Below are 23,064 nucleotides of genomic sequence, written 5' to 3'. Positions count from 1 at the left end.
GTGCATGAGATCTCACATCCAAGGATAACCGCTGAGAACATGGAAGTGCTGACTCTTCAGTCTTTATACTATACACATTTAGGCCTGTTTTGTTTTTATAAAACTGTAATCATATAATACAGACAGTTTTATAATCTGCTTTTTAAACACAACAATTATATAACATTTAGCTGTTTCATTTGCATTCAAATTCATAAGGGTTCCAGTAACTCATTTATCAGAAAACCAAGAGAAATATTCTCATAAAAATATAAGTACATAAGGTCAGGCATGGTGGCTCACGCCTGTAATCCCAGCACTTTGAGAGGCCGAGGTGGGCGGATCACCTGAGGGCAGGAATTCAAGACCAGCCTGGCCAGCCTGGACAACATGGTGGAACCCCGTCTCCACTGAAAATACAAAAATTAGCCGGGCGTGGTGGCGCGCGCCTGTAATGGTAGCTACTCAGAAGGCTGAAGCAGGAGAATCGCTTGAACTTGGCAGGTGGAGGTTGCAGTGAACTGAGATCGCGCCACTGCACTGCAGCCAGGGCGCCAAAGTGAGACTCCATCTCAAAAAAAGATAAAAATAAAAAATAAAAAAAATGTATATATATGTATATATATTTTTCCAGACAGGGTCTTACTCTGTCTCACAGTCTGAAGTGTAGTGACGCAATCATAGCTCACTGCAGTCTCAAGTTCCTGAGCTCAGGTGATCCTCCCACTTCAGCCTCCCAAGTAGCTGGAACTACAGGTGCATGCCACCATGCCCAGTCAATTTTTTTTTTTAATTTTTCATAGAGACAGAGTCTCACTATGTTTCCCAGTCCTAATAAACATTATGTGATAAAAAGAAAAAAGTAAATCATCCTGAAGTTAAGTCTTTAATGAGAAATGCAAATAAAGCATTTCTCAATAAATTATGGGAAGAGAATCAACTGAAGAATAAACATCTTTAGTAAATCTTTTGCTCATGTGCATTAACCAATACTCTTGAAAACCAGGATTAATTTACTGTACCTTCTTAATATTCCTTTGAAATTCCTTATGGCGCACAGGTAGCGTAGAAAATAACTGCTTCACGCTGACTGTGGTCCCTCTGGGGTGGGGGTAGGGGGTTTTCTGGATGATTTTCCCATCGTGATCAAACACCAGTCGAGTCCCAACCTTCGCCGATACGTGGCAGGTAGAAATGGTGACATCACTGTGAGAGAATACCAGGCATGGTGTGTTCAGTGAGAGATCCATGATGTTGGGCACTGACTACTCTTTTCTTCACTTGCTTTTCTCTCAAAATTTTCTTAAAAAGCTGATGATCCCTCTGAGATAACCGAGATCTAAACGGTTGAGGAGTCATCACAAAATCTAAGGTCTGGCATCTAAAAGACAGTGAGACAGAGAGCACTAAACATGCTTTGTTTTGATAAAAGCTTTGACTTCATTTTTCAGGTTGAATTGCAAAACCATAAATGATCTCAAGATTTATTGATTCTCAAATAGAGATTTGTTTTGTTATTACTCTTCAAACAAAATTTTTTAAAAGAATTTTTTTAAAGAATTTTTTAAAATTTTAAAAAATTTTTTTAAAGAATCCAAAAGATATTATAATTAAAATGTATATGTAGGGCAGGGTGCGGTGGCTCGTGCCTGTAATTCCAGCACTTTGGGAGGCCAAGGAGGGCAGATCACTTGAGGCCTGGAGTTCCAGACCAGCCTGGGCAACATGGCAAAACCCCATCTCTACTAAAAATACAAAAATTAGCCAGGAGTGGTGGTGCACGCTATAGTCCCAGCTCTTCAGGAGGCTGAGTCACGAAAGTCACTTGAACCTGGGAGGCAGAGACTGCAGTGAGCTGAGACTGTGCCACTGCACTCCAGCCTGGGTGACAGAGTGCGACTCTGTCTAAAAAAAAAAAAAAATATATATATATATATATATATATGTATATATATATGTGTGTGTGTGTGTGTGCATGTAATCATTTATAAAAATTTAGTATCTGTGCTATAATTAAATAGTGCTTTGGTGAAATGTTTCCCTAAAAATTGATAATGAAAACCAATGGTAACTATCATTTATTATCTATATGTTCTGTTCAAATTGAGAAGTTACTGTTTTAATAAGGGTAACCAATTTTTTAAACAATACTATTTGCTTCATTTCATTCATTTATTGCTCACATTTCAGAAGTACTAGGACTTAGATTGGCAGTGAGACAAAACAGAATTCAGAAGCTAGAAGCTGAGATATTGAGATAGAAAATTGTAAATAATAATGATTCCAATTAATTTTCAGAGAGGTTTTTCTAAGGGGTCAAGTGAATGGATAAAAATATTTTATCACCTCAGTGCACAAAGTGAGCTCAGAGCTTCCCCCCGAAAGCCAAAAGTTTCAACCCGAGTTAGGTCGGCAAACTCTTGAATCTTAGATGTGTGATGTTTCAGAGCTGAAAGAGACTGTAAAGTAAGGACTAAGACATCTCAAGTGCTATAACAACAAATATACATGATATCTAGTAACTGGCTTTAGAAAACTGTTTTTGTGTTTCCCAAGACAGTGTTACTCAAAATTCTAAGACATGTGGCCCAATTATTTTATAATAGGATTAGAAAGTTAACTTACTTAAGCCTTTAAAGTTTTCTTCTTCTACCCCACATCCATTGCCTGAAACTTCAATGAGATCCATTCCATAGTCCTTAAGCTTTAGATCTAGAAAGTTTAAAATATTTATATATTTATTAAAAATGGACCCACGCTATCAGTTTTTATATTGATATTATTTATAACGTGCAAATTTAAGTGTCGTAACTATACCTTTAGTTAAACATACTAGTGTCATTTTGTATATTTCATTTTTATAAAGTTCTTTCTGACCATTTACTAGCCCAGATTAAATAGTTTAGCATTTTCTTTCTTTCCTCTTTTTTTTTTTTTTTCCTTACACTAGTCAAGTGAAGCAGTTGGAGTGGAGAAGGAACAAAAAAATCTGTAACTGGTTGTGATCAATTAGTTGTAAAGACCGTTGCACTTTGACCAGCCTTTTCCTTTGAAAGAAATAATTTTAACATACCCAGTAAGGAGAACGGGGGCCGGGCACAGTGGTTCATGCCTGTAATCCCAGCACTTTGGGAGACCAAAGCGAGCGGATCACCTGAGGTCAGTAGTTCGAGACCAGCCTGACCAACGTAGAGAAACTCTATCTCTACTAAAAATACAAAATTAGCCAGGCGTGGTGGTGCATGCCTGTAATCCCAGCTACTTGTGAGGCTGAGGCAGGAGAATCGCTTGAACCTGGGAGGTGGAGGTTGCAGTGAGTTGAGATCGTGCCATTGCACCGCAGCCTCGGCAACAAGAGCAAAACTCTATCTCAAAAAAAAAAAAAAGAAAAAAAAACAGAACTGGTTCTGGAATCAGACTTCCTAGATTCTATTTTATTAGCTTTATAATCTCAAAAAAAGGAAATTTACTGTCCCTTAATTTCCTCAACTGTAAAATGGAGGTAATAAGTTCTATCTCATAAAGTTATTTGGCAGATTAATAATTTTTTTTTTAATTTTGTCATTTTCTTTTTTTTCTTTCCTTTTTTTTTTTTTTTTAATTTTTTGAGATGGACTTTTGCTCTTGTCACCCAGGCTGGAATGCAGTGGCACAATCGATCTTGGCTCACTGCAACCTCCACCTCCCAGGTTTAAGCAATTCTCCTCCCTCAGCCTTCTGAGGAGCTGAGATTACGGCCATGCACCATCACATCTGGCTAATTTTTGTATTTTTAGTAGAGACAGGGTTTTACCACGTTGGTTAGGCTGGTCTTGAACTCCGGACCTCAAAGCATCAGCCCCCCTCAGCCTCCCAAAGTGCTGGGATTACAGATGTGAGCCACTACTCCAGGATTTATTTTATTTTATTTTATTTTATTTTTTTGAGACAGAGTCTTGCTCTGTCCCCAGGCTGGCGTGCAGTGGCACAATCTCGGTTCACTGCAACCTCCACCTCCCAAATTTAAACAATTCTCATTCCTGAGCCTCCCCAGTAGCTGGGATTACAGGCTTCTGCCACCAGGTCTGGCTAATTTTTGTATTTTTAGTAGAGACAGAGTTTCACCATTTTGGACAGGCTGGTCTCGAATTCCTGACCTCAGGTATCCACCCGCCTTGGCCTCCCAAAGTGCTGGGATTACAGGCGTGAGCCACCACACCCGGCCTGCTTTATTTTTTAATAGAGACGAGGTCTCCCCATGTTGGCCAGGTTGGTCTTGAACTCTTGGCTTCAAGCAATCCCCCCACCTCAGCCTCTCAAAGGGCTAGGATTACAGGCGTCAGACACCACGCCCAGCTATTCTGCAAATTAAATGAGATATTTCTGTGCAATTCTTAGCATAACACCTGCCTGGCACACCATAAGAACACAAGAAAAGCTGTCGTTATTATTATTACTACCTAGCTAAGTACTAGGCACATAATAGGTGCTAACTTTAACTTAAAAATAATAGTTTATTACTACATCAACACTTGATAGTCTTATTTCAATAACAAATGTTTCTTGACTACAACAACATTCACTGATCATTTCTTGTGGCTTAAAACTCTCCCAAACTTACCAATATTAGTGGCACCAGCATCCAGACTGTTTTCTACTATCTTCTTCACCGCAGTGCTTAGACTCAGTACCACCTGCCCAGAGCAAATCTGATGGACTGACTTCCGATCAATAGGTTTGATGGCCTTAGCAGGTTCTGTACTAAAGAAATCAGTTACAAGAAACAAAGCAAGTATTCAGCTATATATTTTCATCCTGATTTTAACTGTGGGAAATGACTCAACACTGCAAATAGTTTATGGTTCTAATCTATTCATTTATTATATTAACAAATACATTTATTATATCCAGAAATGGAAACATTGTTTTACAATCCTTAAACAAGTACCCAAAATACTTCTGGATAGACACTTCAAATTCAACACATCCTTACTATCTAGTATCCACATGGAGAAAACATACATTGTATCTCTCAAATTACCAAAATCTTTGGCAATAATGGTGTCTTCTTTCTTGAAAACTGAAAGCATGGCCGGTGTGGTGGCTCATGCCTGTAATCCCAGCAATTTGGGACACAGAGGCAGGCGGATCACTTGAGATCAGGAGTTTGAGACCAGCCTGGCCAACGTCGTGAAACCCTGTCTCTACCAAAAATACAAAAAATTAGCCAGGCATGGTGGTGGGCGCCTGTAATCCCAGCTATTTGGGAGGCTGAGGCAGAAGAATCACTTAAACCTGGGAGGCGGAGGTTGCAGTGAGCTGAGATTGCAGCATTGCACGCTAGGCTGGGCAATGAGCAAAAAAAAAAGTAAAAGCAACATAATTTCCCACATAATTAGAAAAACCAACAGTATGCTGGGAAATACACAATGTTTAAGTCAAAATCATCTCAGAAATTGGATACCAGTTATATAACTATTCCTTATACACAGTTGCCTTTGATACCCTACTCCAAATTGAAGCTGCCAGCTGCTGTCTTAGCAAAGACCCTCAAAGTTCTTGCTGTACTTGTTTTAAGAGTTTTTTTTTTTTTGTTTTTGTTTTTTTGAGACGGATTCTTGCTCTGTCGCCCTGTCGCCCAGGCTGGAGTGCAGTGGCACGATCTTAGCTCACTGCAAGCTCTGCCTCCCGGGTTCACACCATTCTCCTGCCTCAGCCTCCTGAGTGGCTGGGACTACAGGCGCCCACCACCATGCCCAGCTAATTTTTTGTATTTTTTGTAGAGACAGGGTTTCACCGTTTTAGCCAGGATGGTCTCGATCTCCTGACTTCGTGATCCGCCCGCCTCAGCCTCCCAAAGTGCTGGGATTACAGGCGTGAGCCACCACGCCCAGCCCACTTTAAGAGTTTTATAACGGTTTCATTTCCCCTTATTCCCTGCTCCAACCCATCCTCCACTCTATCACCAGAGCTATTTTTGAAATCACGAATCTGGTCAAATAATTTTTCTGCTTGAAAAATTACTAGTGCCCCACTTCCTACTATATGAAACTTAAAATCTAGTCATCACTGGGCCCCAAACTACCTTCTTTTCAGAATCTCTCCGATCCTTTCCCTTCATCAAGTCCCCTACATTATTATTATTATTATTATTATTATTATTATTATTATTATTATTTGAGACAGAGTCTCACCCTGTCACCTGGGCTAGAGTGCAATGGCATGATCTCGGCTCACTGCAACCTCCACCTCCCAAGTTCAAGTGATTCTCCTGTCTCAGCCTCCCAAGTTGCTGGGATTATAGGCATCCACCATTACACTCAGCTAATTTTTGTGTTTTTAGTAGAGATGGGGTTTCACCATGTTGGCCAGGCTGGTTTCTAACTCCTGACCTCAGGTGATCTGCCCGCCTTGGCCTTCCAAAGCACTAGGATTACAGGTGTGAGCCACCGCAACTGGCCGTCCCCTATATTGCAGCACAGTGAACAACTGTTTCCTGAACATCACAAGCTCTCTTAGACACTACAGTGTATAAGCAGGTCTCTGTCTAAACTGCTCTCCTCTTGCCCCTCTGCCCAACCAATGTCTGCTCATCCAAAGAATGTATCCCGTGTGTTCATTAACTTAGCAAGTTCCCAGTAAACAGTTTAATTGATCACTCGTTAAGAGAAGGCGGGAAACCTCCATGAAAAGAGAAATCAGTGGGTATTTCCTACAGCATTTAACACATCGTAGGCCTTCAATAAACCCTTGTGAAATAAACAAACCTCTTTACTCTTCATTCTATGTTGCTAAGAATCTCACCTAAGTCTGTCTACCATGTGAAACTGCAGATGACCTCACAGAAAATGGAAAGAAGTATCTCTAAAAATAAGTTTATTTGGCAACACACTACAGGCTACAGGTTCACTTCTGATTTTTTTTCTTTTTTTTTTTGAGATGGAGTCTTGCTGTGTCACCCAGGCTAGACTGCAGTGGTGCAATCTCAGCTCACTGCAATCTCTGTCTCCTGGGTTCCAGCGATTCTCCTGCCTCAGCCTCCCAAGTAGCTAGGATTACAGGCGCCTGCCACCACGCCCAGCTAATTTTTGTATTTTTAGTAGAAATGGGATTTCACCATGTTGGCCAGGCTGGTCGTGAACTCCTGACCTCATGATCCACTTGCCTTGGCCTCCCAAAGTGATGGGATTATAGGTGTGAGCCACCGCACCTGGTCCACTTCAGATATTTAGATACAGACGGCAAATTTATTTAAATGTCTCAATACATTTAAATGTAGTTACCTAAATATATCTAATATATTTAAATGCAGAGAGCAAATTTGCGTTTACAAATCTGACATGGAATTCAACTGTGCTAGCCAAGATTCGGTGTAGCTTACCAGCCAGAAATCACATACCCTAACAGGTAAAAATGCATTGCATTTTTTAAAACTGAGCAGCTACGCAAATTAGGATATGTCTGGATGCTCTACTGTCCCCAAAATAACCTCAATTTTTTTTTAAAAGGCCAGGCACAGTGCATTACGCCTGTAATTCCAGCGCTTTGGGGGGCCAAGGCGGGCGGACTGCTTGAGCTCCGGAGTTCCAGACCAGCTTGGGCAACATAGCGAAATCCCCGTCTCTACAAAAAAATAAAATAAAAATTAAAAATAAAATAATATAAAAATAAAAATAAAAGGGGAGGGAGAACAGGTAGAAAGGAAATGCATTCAGTCTATGGGGATTTCACGTTCCGGCTTCAAGTCCACGGCCCTGTGATGGGATGTGGGCAGGGCCTGAGACAGGCCGAACCCAACTCTTCACAGGGCCGAATTCTTTGCCCGCAGCCCAGCACCCCGAAGGAGCTTGCCTCGGCTTCAAGGCGCACCTAATGGGCACCGGATCGCTGGGGCGCTGAGGATGCCGCTCCGGGGCCTCCACGAGGTGACCTCGCCACGCGCCTCGGCCATGTTCCCCCCATTTCCAGGGAGGTTGGAAGCCGTGGTTCTCAAAGAGGGCGCGCGAGAGGGGCGACCGCGAGCCCAGCTCACCTCCAGCTCTCAGCTCTCTCCAAGGATGCAACACCGGATCCGCCTCGGGGACTGGGAAAGTGCCCTCCACGGCTCCCACAGGCGCCCCGCCTCCTGGGCTCCCATTGGCTGCTTTCGACGTTGTGCTCCACCCTTTCCGGGCGGGGCGGAAAAAATACTTCCCGTCTCTCCTTTTCGCCTAGTGGCTCTGTCAAAGGTCGAGTCCGTGACGTCAAAGAGCCTGGACCAATCAGAGCACACCGGACTGCGTTTTTTTTTTCCGAACGCCCGCAGCAGGGTCAGAAGGGAGGTGGTCGCCCTCCGTCGTGGTCTGGCGTGTATTCCGAGCGTTGGTGTCTGGCGGTTTCCGAGCGTTGGTGTCTGGCGGTTTCTGACCGTTGGTGTCTGGCGGTTTCCGACCGTTGGTGTCTGGCACGCGCCACCCTCTCTTGCTTTGGTTGCGCCATGCCGATGTACCAGGTAAAGCCCTATCACGGGGTCTGCGCCCCTCTCCGTGTGGAGCCCACCTGCATGTACTGGCTCCCCAACATGCACGGCAGGAGCGGCGGCCCAGCACTTGGCACTGGCCACTTGCAGGTAGGAGCGCGGGGCCCCCCGCCCACTGCGCACGCGCGGCGGCCGGGTGCTGGCCCGGGTGCCCCTAGGCCGGATAGAGTGCGTCCCAACCGATTCGCGGCCCCACCCCGGCATCTGTGCCGGCCGGCCAGGGGCTCACCCAGATTTTTATGTTTTAAAAGATTTATTCAGGCCGGGCGCCGTGGCTCACGCCTGTAATCCCGGCACTTTGGGAGGCCGAGGCGGGCGGATCACCTGAGATCAGGAGTTCGAGACCAGTCTGGCCAACATGGTGAAACCCCGTGTCTACTAAAAATGCAAAAATTAGCCGGGCGTGTGTCGGGCGCCTGTAATCGCAGCTACTCGGGAGGCTGAGGCAGGAGAATGGTTTGAACCCTGGAGGCGGAGCTTGCAGTGAGCTGAGATCGAGCCATTGCACTCGAGCCTGGGCAGCAAGAGTGAAACTCCGTCTCAAAAAAAAAAATTATTATATACATATATATCTTTATATATATTAAATATACCTTTATTATGCGTATTATACATATTGTATATTATGTGTAATATATGACATAATATATTATAAAATATATTATATATTATATATATATATATTTTTTTTCCTGGTCGAGCGCGGTGGTTCACGCCTGGAATCTCAGCGCTTTGGGAGACCGAAGCGGGAGGATTGCTTGGGAGACCGAAGCGGGAGGATTGCTTGAGCCCGGAGAGTTTGAGACCACCCTGAGCAACATAGCAAGACCCTTGTCTCTATGTTTTTTTTTTTTTTTTGAGTTGGAGTCTTGCTCTGTCGCCCAGGCTGGAATGCAGTGGCCTGATCTCGGCTCACTGCAAGCTCCACCTCCCGGGTTCACGCCATTCTCCTGCCTCAGCCTCCCCAGTAGCTGGGACTACAGGCGCCCGCCACCACGCCTGGCTAACTTTATTTTGTATTTTTAGTAGAGACATGGTTTCACCGTGTTAGCCAGGATGGTCTCGATCTCTTGACCTCGTGATTCGCCTGCCTCGGCCTCCCAAATTGCTGGGATTACAGGCGTGAGCCACCACGCCCAGCTGCCTTGTCTCTATTTTTTAAATGTTTTAATTAAAATAAAAATCTATCCATATTTTTTTTTTTTTTTGCGTATGGCTGCTTAAACATTTTAGTTCAGAATTCTATCCTCTGAAAAGTGAATAGCACATAAATGCTCATTTTGAGGAATTACAAAGCGAACCCCAGGGTCACCACCTCCTAGGTTGACACACATTGTCACCGCTCCATTCTTTCCACTTAAACCTTCCCCACCAGCACCCCAGGGCCTGATTTTTGTGGTAATTATGTCATGCTTGTCTCTATTATTTTGTCAGCTAAGTATCCCTAAACAATATGGTCAGGTTTTTTGTTTGTTTGTTTTTTTTGTTTTTTTCAGACGGAGTTTCACTCTGTCACCCAGGCTGGAGTGCAGTGGCATGATCTCAGCTCACTGCCACCTTGGCCTCCTGGGTTCAAGCAATTCTCAGGCCTCAGCCTCATGAGTAGCTGAGATTACAGGCACTGTCCACTGCACCTGGCTAATTTTTGTATTTTTAGTAGAGACGGGGTTTTGCCATGTTGACCAGGCTGGTCTTGAACTCCTGACCTCAGGCGATCCGCCCGCCTTGAACTCCCAAAGTGCTGGATTACAGGTGTGAGCCACCGTGCCCGGCACCTAAACAACATAGTTTTGATATAGGTAAGCATACAGCATATATTTTGATGTATTTCAGGTAATTTAGTCTAAGAACAGGAAAGGACAGAAAATGAACACAATTTGTAGTTCTTTGTTCTTAACAAACTAAGAATACTTTGCTTAAATAAGTAGCAATGAGAATGTAACTCAGTAATTCATACAAATAGACAAGAAGACAAGAAAATGATTTGAGGACAGCTTCAATCGCGGTGTGAAGAAGAAAGCAGCAAAACGACCACTGAAAACAACGCCGGTGAGTCAGCCAGTTTTCTTTTGTTTTTGAATCTTGTGGGGGAATCAGCCCAGTTATTCGGGAGGCTGAGGCAGGAGAATGGCACGAACCCTGGGGGCAGAGCTGGCAGTGAGCCGAGATCACGCCACTGCACGCCAGCCTGGGCGACAGAGCGAGACTCCGTCTCAAAAAAAAGAGAAAACCTAAGAGGTTCAGGTGATATGGTTCAAAAAAGGACAAGATTTACAAAGTATTAAGGGACGGAAATAGGAAGAAGAGAAATTTCGAAGAGAAAAGAAAAGAAAAGGATGTTTGGTTATAGAGATACGGGAAGGAGACTCAAGGAATTTTTTTTTTAAAGGGAAAAAAGTTAATAAACTTCATAATATAAAAATCAATTATTTCAGGACTGAGTCTAACTCAGACTGCTGTGGAATTGGCAGCATAAGCCTACTTGTGTGATAATGATGAAACCAAGTGTTAATGTCACTGTTACCTTTTTTTCATATTTCTGATCTTTTTATGTGTATCAGGTGGCAAAATATCCAAAGAAAGGGTCCCAAGCGGTACATCGTCATAGCCGGAAACAGTCAGAGCCACCAGCCAATGATATTTTCAATGCTGCGAAAGCTGCCAAAAGTGACATGCAGGTAAAAGCAGTGTCTTACCTCTGTTGATACCATCTCACTTTTTGTAAGGTGGTAAGGACAAGTGTCTACAAACTTGATTTGATGTGAACATTTTAGTGAGTGTAACATATCAAGAAAGATAAGATTATGGGGTGAATCCTTGGAGTGATAGAAGGTAACCTTGAATAAGAGAGCATGTTCTTTTTTTTTTTTTTTTTTTTTTTTGAGACAGTTGCCCAGGCTGGAGTGCAGTGGCACAGTCTCAGCTCACTGCAGCCTCTGCCTCCTGGGTTCAAGCGATTCTCATGGTCTTGGGAGGCTGAGGCCTCCCAAGTAGCTGGGCTTACAGGCATGTGCCACCATGCCTAGCTAATTTTTGTATTTTTAGTAGAGATGGGGTTTCACCATGTCGGCCAGGCTGGTCTCCAACTCCTGACCTCAGGTGATCCGCCTGCCTCGGCCTCCCAAAGTGCTGGGATTACAGGTGTGAGCCACCGCACCCGGCTTCGAGAGAGCGTTTCTTTTCTTAAAGCGTGTTCTTTTCTTAAAGGTATCACAGGAGTGATTATGCCTTTATTGATTGATGGAGCAGATGAGGAGAGGCATTGCATGACATGGGAAGGAAGCTTAGATGTGGGTGGCACCTTGTTCACCCATGTTATTTTTTAGCTCCATCTTGACAATTATACTTAATTATTTTTTCCCTCTCTGTTTCTTTTTTTATAATTTTATTGAAGTTCTAATATCTGGAAGTGTACAAAGCGTATATGTAGTTTAAAAAATAAAAATGAGATATCACCCAGATCTCTAGCCCCAGCTCAAGAAATGAAACATTAATAGTGCTGTAGAGATCCTTTGTGTACCTTCTTTCTACCCTACCTCACAGTCCCCTTATTACCCATAGGTAAACACTAGGGTGAACTTTGCGTTAATCTTTCTCATCTTTCATTATAGTGTTACCACTATGAATGTGTTCTTTAATTATGTAAATGAATCCATTATTCAGGCTTCTGTGATTTAATTATTTCAGTTAAGATTGTTTGAGATTTATCCACATTAACATGTAGTTTTATAGTTTCTGGGAAAATATTTAAAATTTTCAAACATACAGAATTTTGCTAGTTATATTTTCGTTATTTGATTTCTAACTTTATTGTGTTGTAGTCAGGGAATGTGGTGTTTGAAATTTATGTAGGGGCTAGGCACAGTGGCTCACATCTGTGATCCCAGCACTTGGGGAGGCTGAGGCAGGCAGATCACTTGAGGCCAGGAGTTCGAGACCAGCCTGGCCAACATGGCGAAACCCCATCTCTACTAAAAATACAAAAATTAGCTGCATGTGGTGGCATTTGTCTGTAATCCCAGCCACTTGGGAGGCTGAGGCATGAGAATTGCTTGAACCCAGGAGGTGGAGGTTGCAGTGAGCTGAGATTGTGCCACGGCACTCCAGCCTGGGTGACAGAGTGATACTCTGTCTCAAAAAAAAAAAAAAAAAAAAAAAAGACATTTATGGAGACTTAGCCTTATGGCCTAGTATTGAGTTGGCACAATCGTTTTATCTTTTCTGTTTCTTTTTCCCCCTTTGCTTGCTTTCCTCTGGATTTCTTATCTTCTACAAGGACCTGAGCACATTTTAATTCCAGTTGTCTTTTCCACCTTACATGCAGTAGTACAGTGTGTTAGTTTTTTATTTGAAACGGAGTCTTGCTCTGTCACCAGGCTGGAGTGCAGTGACGCGATCTTGGCTCACTGCACCTCCGCCTCCCGGGTTCAGGCGATTCTCCTGCCTCAGCCTGCCAAGTAGCTGGGACTACAGGCACCCGCCACCATGCTTGGCTAATTTTTGGCCACCATGCCCAGCCTGAATGAACTTTCAAAATTGGTTTTTAAAAGAGGTATGGAGGCCGGGTGCAGTGGCTCACACCTGTAACTCCAGCACTTTGGGAGGCCAAGACGGGCAGATCACTTGAGGTCAGGAGTTCGAGACCAGCCTGGCCAACATGGTGAAACCCCATCTCTACTAAAAATACAAAAAGGTAGCTGGGCGTGGTGGTGCACCTGTAATCCCAGCTACTCAGGAGGCTGAGGCAGGAGAATCACTTGAACCCGAGAGGTAGAGGTTGCAGTGAGCTGAGATTGTGCCGCTGCACTCCAGCCTGGGCAACAGGTGGAGTGGAGAATTAGGCTGTACAAGGCTGGTGTTTAACTATTTTATGGTTTGGTAACAGAAAGAAAATATTTACTAACTGGGTATGGCACATTTTTGTAGTCCTAGCTACTTGAGAGGCCAAAGTGGGAAGATGACTTGAACCCAGGAGTTCAAGGCCAGCTTGGGCAACACAGCAAGAGACCCCATCCCTTAAAAAAAAGAGAAAAAATATTTACATGTATTTTACTATATATATAGTATTTACATCGGGAGGAAGAAATGAAAGGCATGGGGTACATGGCATTTCAAGAAAATAAATTCTTCCATGAGAGGGAGTTAACTGGTAGGATGGAAAGTGAGTTTGGAGAGAGGGTGGCTCTAAGAGTCGACTTATCTGTCTGTGTCTAGGGATGTCCTTCCTGAGATCCGTGCTATCTGCATTGAGGAAATTGGGTGTTGGATGCAAAGCTACAGCACGTCTTTCCTCACCGACAGCTATTTAAAATATATTGGTTGGACTCTGCATGATAAGGTGGGATTCGAGTCAGTTTCCCTTTCCGTTTCCTTCATCTTTTTCCTGTCCTAGGACACTTCACCTTTTCCTGGGCCTGCCACTGAGATATTTTACCTAGTGACCAATGATTAACCCATCAAGGCGCTGAACCTTGAAACTCCGCTAGCACTGGGGAGGGTAGGATAAGGTAGAGAGAGACATACCCAGGAGATGAAATGACTCAAAACATGAGGTACGGGGAGAGAGACTTTCCAATGGAAGAGAGTTATTGATGGATGGTAATGCAGGTGCTAAGGGGCAGCCAAAGGATCCTTCTCATCATGAGTACTGCTGTGATCCTTTTTTTTTTTTAAGTATGAAGACAGCTGTTCATTGTTTCTGACATCTCAGAGTCCTCAGTAGAGGGGACACCCAAGCTAGAATGAGGGATCGGAGAGGGGAGTCTGGACGCTCAGTAGGGGCGAGTAGAGTGTGGTTGGTCTTATTTCCATTCTCTTGGTTTTCCCTCCTCACCAGCACCGAGAAGTCCGCGTGAAGTGCGTGAAGGCTCTGAAAGGGCTGTACGGTAACCGGGACCTGACCGCACGCCTTCACTGGCCGCTTCAAGGTGAGACGGGTGGTGCTCCTTGGCTTGGCTCTTTGTCGTGGTTCCCGTTTCCCCACCTTGTATCTTTCTACCCTTCATGCTCTAAGATGTCTTGGCTATCCCAGCATCTGCCTCTACGTAGGCACTCTCTTTAGGAGGCTCTGATTCTAAGAGAACAGAATATTTGGAATGGGCGTAATGAGATATTGAGTGACTTTCTCCTTTCTGCAGGACTGGATGGTTTCCATGATCGTGGACAGAGAGTACAGTGTGGCAGTGGAGGCCGTCAGATTACTGATACTTATCCTTAAGTGAGTCCTGGGAAGAGGGGAGGCCAGTGTCTCAGACCTTTGCCCTTCCAGGGTCATCTCCCTCCACCTGTCACAGCTGACTCTTCCATCTGTGCAGGTTGACTGAGGTCATTCCTGAGTTGCAGTATGTTGAGAGGGTAATATTTCTGTCTTCTCTAACTCCCCATACTCCCTTGTCTTCCACTCTCCACTTAGGAGTTTTTTGTGAGTTATGTCCTTGTTGCTTTTGCCTCTTTTTCTTTCTAGCCTTGATTGTGCCAGAAGACAATGTCCCTATTCACACACTCTTTCTGCTTTTCTGTGGGCAGGAACATGGAAGGGGTGCTGATGGACGTGGACTGTGAGAGCGTCTACCCCATTGTGTAGGCCTCTAATTGAGGCCTGGCCTCTGCTGTGGGTGAATTTCTGTACTGGAAGTGAGTGGGGCTCCTTTTACGTTTCTTTAACACCACCCTCTCGGTTTCTCTCCCACATGTGCTGCTGCCCTACTTAAGGCCTCCCCATCTCCGTGGAAGTCTCTCTGCTGTCTCTTTTCCTCTCTCAGCTCCTTGGGGCTTTCCTTAGCTCTGCACCTCCTTTTCCTTTATCATCTCCTTGGGCCATCTCCTCCGTCTGTGGTCATGATTACACCTCCTTGTTTCCTCCTGTGCTGAGCCCTTTCCTTGTGTCCATTCCACCAGACTTTTCTACCCTGAGTGCGAGATAAGAACGATGGGTGGAAGAGAGCAACGCCAGAGCCCAGGCGCCCAGAGGACTTTCTTCCAGCTTCTGCTGTCCTTCTTTGTGGAGAGCAAGGTGACATACACAGAGAGAACTCTGGCTGTTGTGCATAGGACCTACAAGTGGGCTGGGGTTGGTGGCTCACGCCTGTAAGCCCAGCACTTTGGGAGGCTGAGGTGGGAGGATCCTTTGAGCCCAGGAGTTTGAGACCAGCTTGGGCAACATAGTGAGACCCTGTCTCTACCAAAAAAAAAAAAAAAAAAGACAAATGGAGAAGGATGGGGGTGTACACTGTAGGAAGGAGAGCGATATTTAATCAGTAACCACTTCCTAGGGTATTTTAACATGCCATCACTAAATCCCCATGCACCTCCTTCCCCAGCTCCACGACCACGCTGCTTACTTAGTAGACAACCTGTGGGACTGTGCAGGGACTCAGCTGAAGGACTGGGAGGGTCTGACAAGCCTGCTGCTGGAGAAGGACCAGAGCACGTGCCACATGGAGCCAGGGCCAGGGACCTTCCACCTCCTAGGGTGAAACCAGGAGAGATTGCTTGCTTCACTTGTACAAGGCAGGAACGGTGGCATGGGGTGGGGGAAACTTGGAGTTGGAAGGTGGCTAATCTTTGATTCTATGTTTTTGATCCTCCTGGCACTCCAGACCTGGGTGATGTGCAGGAGAGCACACTGATAGAAATCCTTGTGTCCAGTGCCCAGCAACTCCTGCCTCAGCCTCCCGAGCAGCTGGGACTACAGGTGCCCGCCACCACGCCCGGCTAACTTTTTTGTATTTTTAGTAGAGACGGGTTTTCACCGTGTTAGCCAGGATGGTCTTGATCTCTTGACCTTGTGATCCACCTGCCTCATCATCCCAAAGTGCTGGGATTACAGGCGTGAGCCACTGCGCCCAGCATGTTAGACAATTTTTAATTCATCCTCTCTGTGCTGTTGTTTTCTCAGCTGTGAAAGGAATATTCTGGTGGGGACAAGGTTACAGAGTTGCTGAGAGGGTCTCATGACATGAAGGTACTGGCCTTGGCACAGTGCCTGGGGGGGCGGGGACTCCGCACATGCCTGTGATGTCACAGTTACTGTCAGTTCACAGCGAACCTTCCCTCCTTTTCCTGTTGACTTTCCCACACTCCTGTAACCGTCCCTCCCTCCCTTCTTCCTCTCTCTCTCACTCACGCACACGCACACACACACACACACACTCCATTCACTGTCTCCATGACTCTGGAGTAAACTAACGTCTCGAGTTGCCATTGGAAGCCCCATTGTCCTCATTTTGTTTTGTTTTGTTTGTTTGAGACGGGGTCTCGCTCTGTCCCCCAGGCTGGAGTGCAGTGGTGCGATCTCAGCCCACTGCAGCCTCTGCCTCCTAGGTTCAAGCGATTCTCCTGCCTCACCCTCCTGAGAAGCTGTGATCATAGGTGCCCGCCACCACACCCGACTAATTTTTGTGTTTTTTAGTAGAGACAGGGTTTCACTATGTTGGCCAGGCTGGTCTCGAACTCCTGACCTCAGGTGATCCGCCCACCTTGGCCTCCCAAAGTGCTGGGATTACAGGAGTGAGCCACCACGCCCAGCCTCCGTTGTCCTCATTTAGACTTTCCTGGGTTATAGGCACTTTTGACTTCCTGGGGTCCTTCTTCAGTTAAAAAAAAAAATTAGAAAATTAGGCCGGGCGTGGTGGCATATGCCTGTAATCCCAGCACTTTATGAGGCCGAGGTGGGAGGATCACCTGAGGTCGGGAGTTCAAGACCAGCCTGACCAATGTGGAGAAACCCTGTCTCTACTAAAAATAGAAAATTATTTGGGTGTGGTGGTGCATGCCTGTAATCCCAGCTACTCAGGAGGCTGAGGCAGGAGAATCGCTTGAACCCGGGAGGTGGAGGTTGCGGTCAGCCGAGATCGTGCCACTGCACTCCAGCCTAGGCAACAAGAGTGAAACTCTGTCTTAAAAAAAAAAATTTAAAAATTATATTCGGGCCGGGCTTGGTGGCTCAATCCTATAATACCAGCACCTTAGGAGGCCAAGGCAGGAGGATCACTTGAGGCCAGGAGTTCAAGACCGGCCTGGGCAACATAATGAGAACCCATCTTTACCAAAAAAATAAAATTACATTAAAAATTAGCTGGGCACGGTGACGTCTGCCTGAGGTCACATTCAAGAAGCTGATGTGGGAGGATCGCTTGAGCCCAGGAATTGGAGGCTACAGTGAGCTAAGATCATACCACTGCACTTCAGCCTGGGCGTCAGAGTGAGACCCTGTTTCTAAAATAATAATAATTTTAAAAAATGATATTTATGGTTGCATTGGGAAAAGATCAATCTATTAATATATGTGAAGACATTTTTGGCCTAAAAGTTATATATATTTTTTCCTTCTGATTTTAAAAGAAATGAGGCCAGGCATGATAGCTCATACCTGTAATCCCAGCACTTTGGGAGGCCCAGGTTGGTGGATCACCTGAGGTCAGGAGTTCGAGACCAGCCTGGCCAACATGGTGAAACCCCGTCTCTACTAAAAATACAAAAATTACCCGGGCGTGGTGTCACACGCCTCTAATCCCAGCTACTCAGGAGACTAAGGCAGGAGAATCGCTTGAACCCAGGAAGCGAAGGTTGCAGTGAGACCAGATCGCATCATTGTACTCCAGCCTGGGCGACAAGAACAAAACTCTGTCTCCAAAACAATAACAACAGCAAAACAAATGAATAAAACTCATTATATTCATTTGCTTTTATTTATTTATATTTAACTTTATTATTATTATTATTATTTTGAGACAGAGTCTCATTCTATCACCCAGGCTGGAGTGCAATGAGGCGATCTCACCTCATGCAACCTCCATCTCCCGGGTTCAAGCGATTCTCCTGTCTCCTCCCAGGTAGCTGGGGTTACAGGTGTGCAGCACCACACCTGGCTAATTTTTTTATTTTTAGTGGAGATTGGGTTTCATCATGTTGGCCAGGCTGGTCTCGAAAGCCTGACCTCAAGTGATCCGCCCACCTTAGCCTCCCAAAGTGTGGGGAGCCACTGTCCCGGCATATTATTACTTTTAGAGACGAGGTCTTGCTTTGTTTTCCAGGCTGGAGTACAGTGGCTCAATCATAGCTCACTGCAGCCTCAAACTCCTGGCCTTAAGCAATCCTCCTACTTCAGCCTCCCAAAGTGCTGAGATTATAGGTGTGAGCCACTGCACCTGGCCTCTCTATTCTCTACTTCCTCTTTCTAGAATTTCTATTAGGCGGATGTTGAATCTCCTGAATTAATCTCTAATTTTCTTCCCTTCCCTTTCCCTTCTCCTTCCCTTCCCTTCCCCTTCTCTCCCCTCCCCTCCCCTCCCTTCCCCTCCCCTCCCCTCCCTTCCCTTCCCTCCTTCCTTTCTCTCTCTCTTTCTCTCTTTCTTTCTTTTATAGTCTCATTCTGTCACCCAGGCTGGAGTGCAGTGGCAGTTCTCAGCTCACCGAAACCTCTGCCTCCCGGGCTCAAGCAATTCTCATGTCTCAGCCTCCCGAGTAGCTGGGATTACGGGTGCACACCACCACACCTGGCTGATTTATGTATTTTTTTCGTAGAGACAGGGTTTTGCCATGTTGGCCGGGCTGGTCTCGAACTCCTGACCTCGGGTGATCCACCCACCTCAGCCTCCCAAAGTGCTGGGATTACAGGTGTGAGCCACCGTGCCCGGCCTTGACTACCATATTTTAAATTTACTGGAGGACTTTTTTGTTCTCTTCTTTTTTCTTTTTTTAATAGCATCCCGCTCTTATTTCAGAATAAAAAAATTTTTAAGGTATGTTGAGTAAGAATCTATAGAGCAATGAAAATGCAAGAGCAATAGCTATGGGCACCAAATGGTCAATCTTCTTATCATAATGTTGAGTGGAAGAAGCCAGGTCCACCAGACACATGCTGCTCATTTATGCAAAGTTTGGACACAGGCAAAACAAAACTAGTTTGATCGTGATGGGAAACATTAGAGAAATGCAAAGACATGACCATCATAATTGTCAGGAGAAGGCATTGGTTAGGATTGGGAAGCGGCAAGCAGAAGCATTTAGGGATTGGCTGGCAATGTTTTACTTCTCAGCTGAGTGAGGGTTGCATCGGTGTTTATTTGATAACACGTTCTAGGGGCTGGGCAAGATGGCTCATGTTTGTAGTCTCAGTACTTTGGGAGGCCAAAGATGGGAGGATTGCTTGAGCCCGTGAGTTTGAGACCAGCGTGGGTGACATAGCGAGACCCTGTCTCTACAAAAAATTAAAAAAAAAAAAAAAAACCAGCTGCGTGTGGTGGCACAGCCTCAAACTCCTGGGCTCAAGCGATCCTCCCTTGGCCTTCCAGCCACTCAGGAGGCTGGGGTGGGAGGATCGCTTGAACCCAGGAGTTTGAGGCTGCAGTGAGCTATGAATGAGCCACTGCACTCCAGCCTGGGCAACAGGGCAAGACCCTGTCTCAAAAAAAAAAAAATTTAATTTGAACACTTCTGTTTTGTGCAGTTTTCTCTGTTATATTTTACTTTTTAAAAAGAAAAAGCAGCTGGGCGCGGTGGCTCACGCCTGTAATCCCAGCACTTTGGGAGGCCAAAGTGGGTAGATCACCTGATGTCAGGAGTTCGAGACCAGCCTGACCAACATGGAGAAACCTCGTCTCTACTAAAAACACAAAAAATTAGCCGGGCGTGGTGGCGCATGCCTGTAATCCCAGCTACTTGGGAGGCTGAGGCAGGAGAATCGCTTGAACCTAGGAGGCAGAGGTTGCAGTGAGCTGAGATCGCACCACTGCACCCCAGCCTGGGCAATAAGAGTGAAACTCCATCTCAAAAAAAAAAAAAAAAAGGTACATGAAACATATGAAGCAAAAAGTGAAAGTCCCCATTCTTTTCCTTTTTCCAGAGGTGATTTTTGTGGCCAATCTGGTTTCATTCCCTCCCAGACACTTTTCTAGGCATCTATGTGCCTCTATTCACATATAAACAAAATAGGAGTTTTCCTGTGCTTCCCTTAAATGGCATATGTATCTTTCACTCTTTTTTTTCACCTAGTGGATCTTTAATACCTTAAAAGCTCAACATGGGCTTGGTGCGGTGGCTCATACGTGTAATCCCAGGCCTTTGGGAGGCCAAGGTGGGAGGATCACTTGAGCTCAGGAGTTCCAGACCATTCCAAAGCAAAAACAAAAGGATTTTGAGATCAGTGTGGACAACTTAGCAAAACACCATCTCTAAAAAAAAAAAAAAAAAAAATTAGCCAAGCTTGGTGGTGTAAGCCTGTAGTCCCAGCTACTTGAGAGGCTGAGGTGGGAGGATTGTTTGAACCCAGGAGGTTGAGGCTACAGTGAGCTGTGATTGTGCCACTGCACTCCAGGTTGGGTAATGCAGCGAGACTGCGTCTCAAAAAATAAATAAAATAAAAAATAAATAAAAGCTCCACCTGTCTTCCTTTTAGATGTTGCATAGCATTTCACACAGTATTGATGTATTACAGCTCAACTAAATTAATCCCAGTATCTAGCACTTGGGGTGGTGGGAAGGATTAAGGGAGATAATATAAGCCAAGTGCCCAGAACAAGGGCTTGGCACACCAGGCTCGCCTTGAACAATTTGTTTTTTTGTTGTTTTGTGTGTGTGTGGTTTTTTTTTTTTGAGACAGCGTCTCATTGCATCACCGAGGTTGTAGTGCAGTGGTGCAATCGTAGCTCACTACTGTCTCAGACACCTGGGATCAAGCGATCCTCCCACCTCAGCCTCCGGAGTAGCTGGGACTACACATGCATCACCACACCCCACTAATTTTTAAATTTTTTGTAGAGACAGAGTCTCATTATGTTGCCTAGGCTGGTCTCAAACTCCTGGCCTCAATTAATCCTCCTCCCTTGGCCTCCCAAAGTGCTGGGATTACAGGGATGAGCCACTGTACCTGGCAGCCTTGAGCGATTTCTCACCTCCTCATTGGCCCAGTTTCCTTATCTGTAAATGAGAGTAGCTGTAAAATATGGTTAATGTGAGGACCAAACAGGTCAATTAGGGAAAAGCAGTGTCTCTGCCAGCACCTGACACTTCTTTTTTTTTTTTTTGTGAGACAGTCTCACTCTGCTGCCCAGGCTGGAGTGCAGTGGTGCAATCTTGGCTCACTGCAACCTCCACCTCCCAGGTTCAAGCAATTCCCCTGCCTCAGCCTTCTGATTAGCTGGGACTACAGGTGCCTGCTACCACGCCTGGCTAATTTTGGAATTTTTAGTAGAGATGTGGTTTCACCATCTTGGCCTGGCTGGTCTTGAACACCTGAACTCAGGTGATCTGCCCACCTCAGCCTCCCAAAGGGCTGGGATTACAGGTGTAATGGTTAAGGAGGCAAATCTTAAATAAAGGCCGGGCACAGTGGCTCACGCCTGTAATCCCAGCTACTCGGGAGGCTGAGGTAGGAGAATTGCTTGAACCCGGGATTGCAGTGAGCCAAGATCGCACCACTACACTTCAGCCTGGGTGACAGAATGAGACTCCGTCTTAAAAAAAAAAAAAAAAAATTTAAATAAAATGCATGCAATGTGGTCCAGGCGTGGTGGTGCATGCCTGTAACCCCAGCACTTTGGGAGATAGAGGCAGGTGGATCCCTTGAGCTTAGGAATTTGAGACTAGGCTGGGCAACATAGTGAGACCTCATCTCTAAAATTAAAAAAATAAAAGCCACCAGAAAAAAACCTAAAAACATGCCAAGTGACATCAGTCTTTGATGAAAATGGCAGCAGAAGAGTGATGCCATGGGTGGGGGTGGGAAATGCTATTTCAGCAGAGAGGGAGCTGTCACGGAAGACACCATGTGGCTGGGCACGGTGGCTCACACCTGTAATCCCAACACGTTGGGAGGCCAAGGTGGGCAGATCACTTGAGGTCAGGAGTTCAAGACCAGCCTGGCCAACATGGCAAAACCCCATCTCTACTAAAATCCAAAAATTAGTCGGGTATGGCAGTGCACGCCTGTAATCCCAGATACTCAGAAGGCTGAGGCAGGAGAATCATTTGAACCTGGGAAGTGGAGGTTGCAGTGAGCCAAGATCGTGTCACTGCACTCTAGCCTAGGTGATACAGCGAGACTCAGTCTCAAAAAATAAAGGAAGAAAAAGAAACCAGGTGACTGTTGTGCCCGTCTCTTGTCCCCGATCTTTCTCCCAATCCTGAGGTCCATCAGCTGGAAGGACATATCCATCCGGAGGCCTCCCCAAGTGTGGTGGGAGAAATCCATCCCCTCTCTGACACTCCCCCCGCCTTTCCCTCCCGACACCCAGTCCCCGGGAGATCAAAATTTAACCTGGTGTTATCTAGGCTGGAGCCTGAAGAGCCCGGTGGGAAGTGGAGGACGGAGAGGAGGGGCATGGACCCAGAAAGTAGCAGGAAGTCTTCAGAGACCCTTATTTTTAAATTATTTATTTTTGTTTGTTTTGTTTTTTTGTTTCCCTCTTGTTGCCCAGGCTGGAGTGCAGTGGTGTGATCTTGGCTCACTGCAACCTCTGCCTCCCAGGTTCAAGTGATTCTCCTGCCTCAGCCTCCTGAGTAGCTGGGATTACAGGCGCCCACCACCAAGTCTGGCTAATTTTTGTGTTTTTAGTAGAGATGGGGTTTCACCTTGTTGGCCAGGCTGG

At 45.4% G+C, this 23,064-nt stretch overlaps 1 long non-coding RNA gene and 2 pseudogenes across 5 annotated transcripts in view; 1 reads left to right on the top strand and 2 right to left on the bottom strand.

Annotated features, from left to right (window-relative positions):
• The window catches only part of PMS2P5 (PMS1 homolog 2, mismatch repair system component pseudogene 5), a 30,371-nt pseudogene extending 22,302 nt beyond the window's left edge, over positions 1–8,069 (bottom strand). The window contains exons 1-5 of one of the 3 annotated variants that reach the window (NR_027775.2): positions 7,991–8,069; positions 4,580–4,719; positions 2,605–2,691; positions 2,326–2,428; positions 1,002–1,185 (exon numbers count right to left, since the gene is read on the bottom strand). The product of NR_027775.2 is annotated as a PMS1 homolog 2, mismatch repair system component pseudogene 5, transcript variant 1 (transcript). The remainder of the gene's footprint in view (positions 1–1,001; positions 1,186–2,325; positions 2,429–2,604; positions 2,692–4,579; positions 4,720–7,990) is intronic. The other 2 variants (NR_027776.2, NR_027777.2) reach the window with 2 other exon arrangements.
• A 155-nt stretch (positions 8,070–8,224) lies between these two features.
• STAG3L2 (STAG3 cohesin complex component like 2 (pseudogene)) lies at positions 8,225–16,847 on the top strand (annotated as a pseudogene). Its single transcript, NR_040584.2, has 8 exons — positions 8,225–8,449; positions 10,440–10,525; positions 11,038–11,154; positions 14,313–14,403; positions 14,614–14,693; positions 15,002–15,109; positions 15,374–15,488; positions 15,796–16,847. The product of NR_040584.2 is annotated as an STAG3 cohesin complex component like 2 (pseudogene) (transcript).
• On the bottom strand, positions 15,640–22,876 carry LOC124901673 (uncharacterized). Its single transcript, XR_007060384.1, has 2 exons — positions 20,206–22,876; positions 15,640–16,735 (listed from the first exon to the last, which is right to left on the bottom strand). It is a non-coding gene; the product is annotated as an uncharacterized LOC124901673 (long non-coding RNA).
• Between the last annotated feature and the right edge of the window lie 188 nt (positions 22,877–23,064).

This window comes from Homo sapiens, chromosome 7 (assembly GCF_000001405.40).
Source record: "Homo sapiens chromosome 7, GRCh38.p14 Primary Assembly".
NCBI classification, from domain to species: Eukaryota; Metazoa; Chordata; class Mammalia; order Primates; family Hominidae; genus Homo; species Homo sapiens.
Note: the sequence above shows the minus strand (reverse complement) of the source record. Positions and strands in the feature narration are given on the sequence as shown.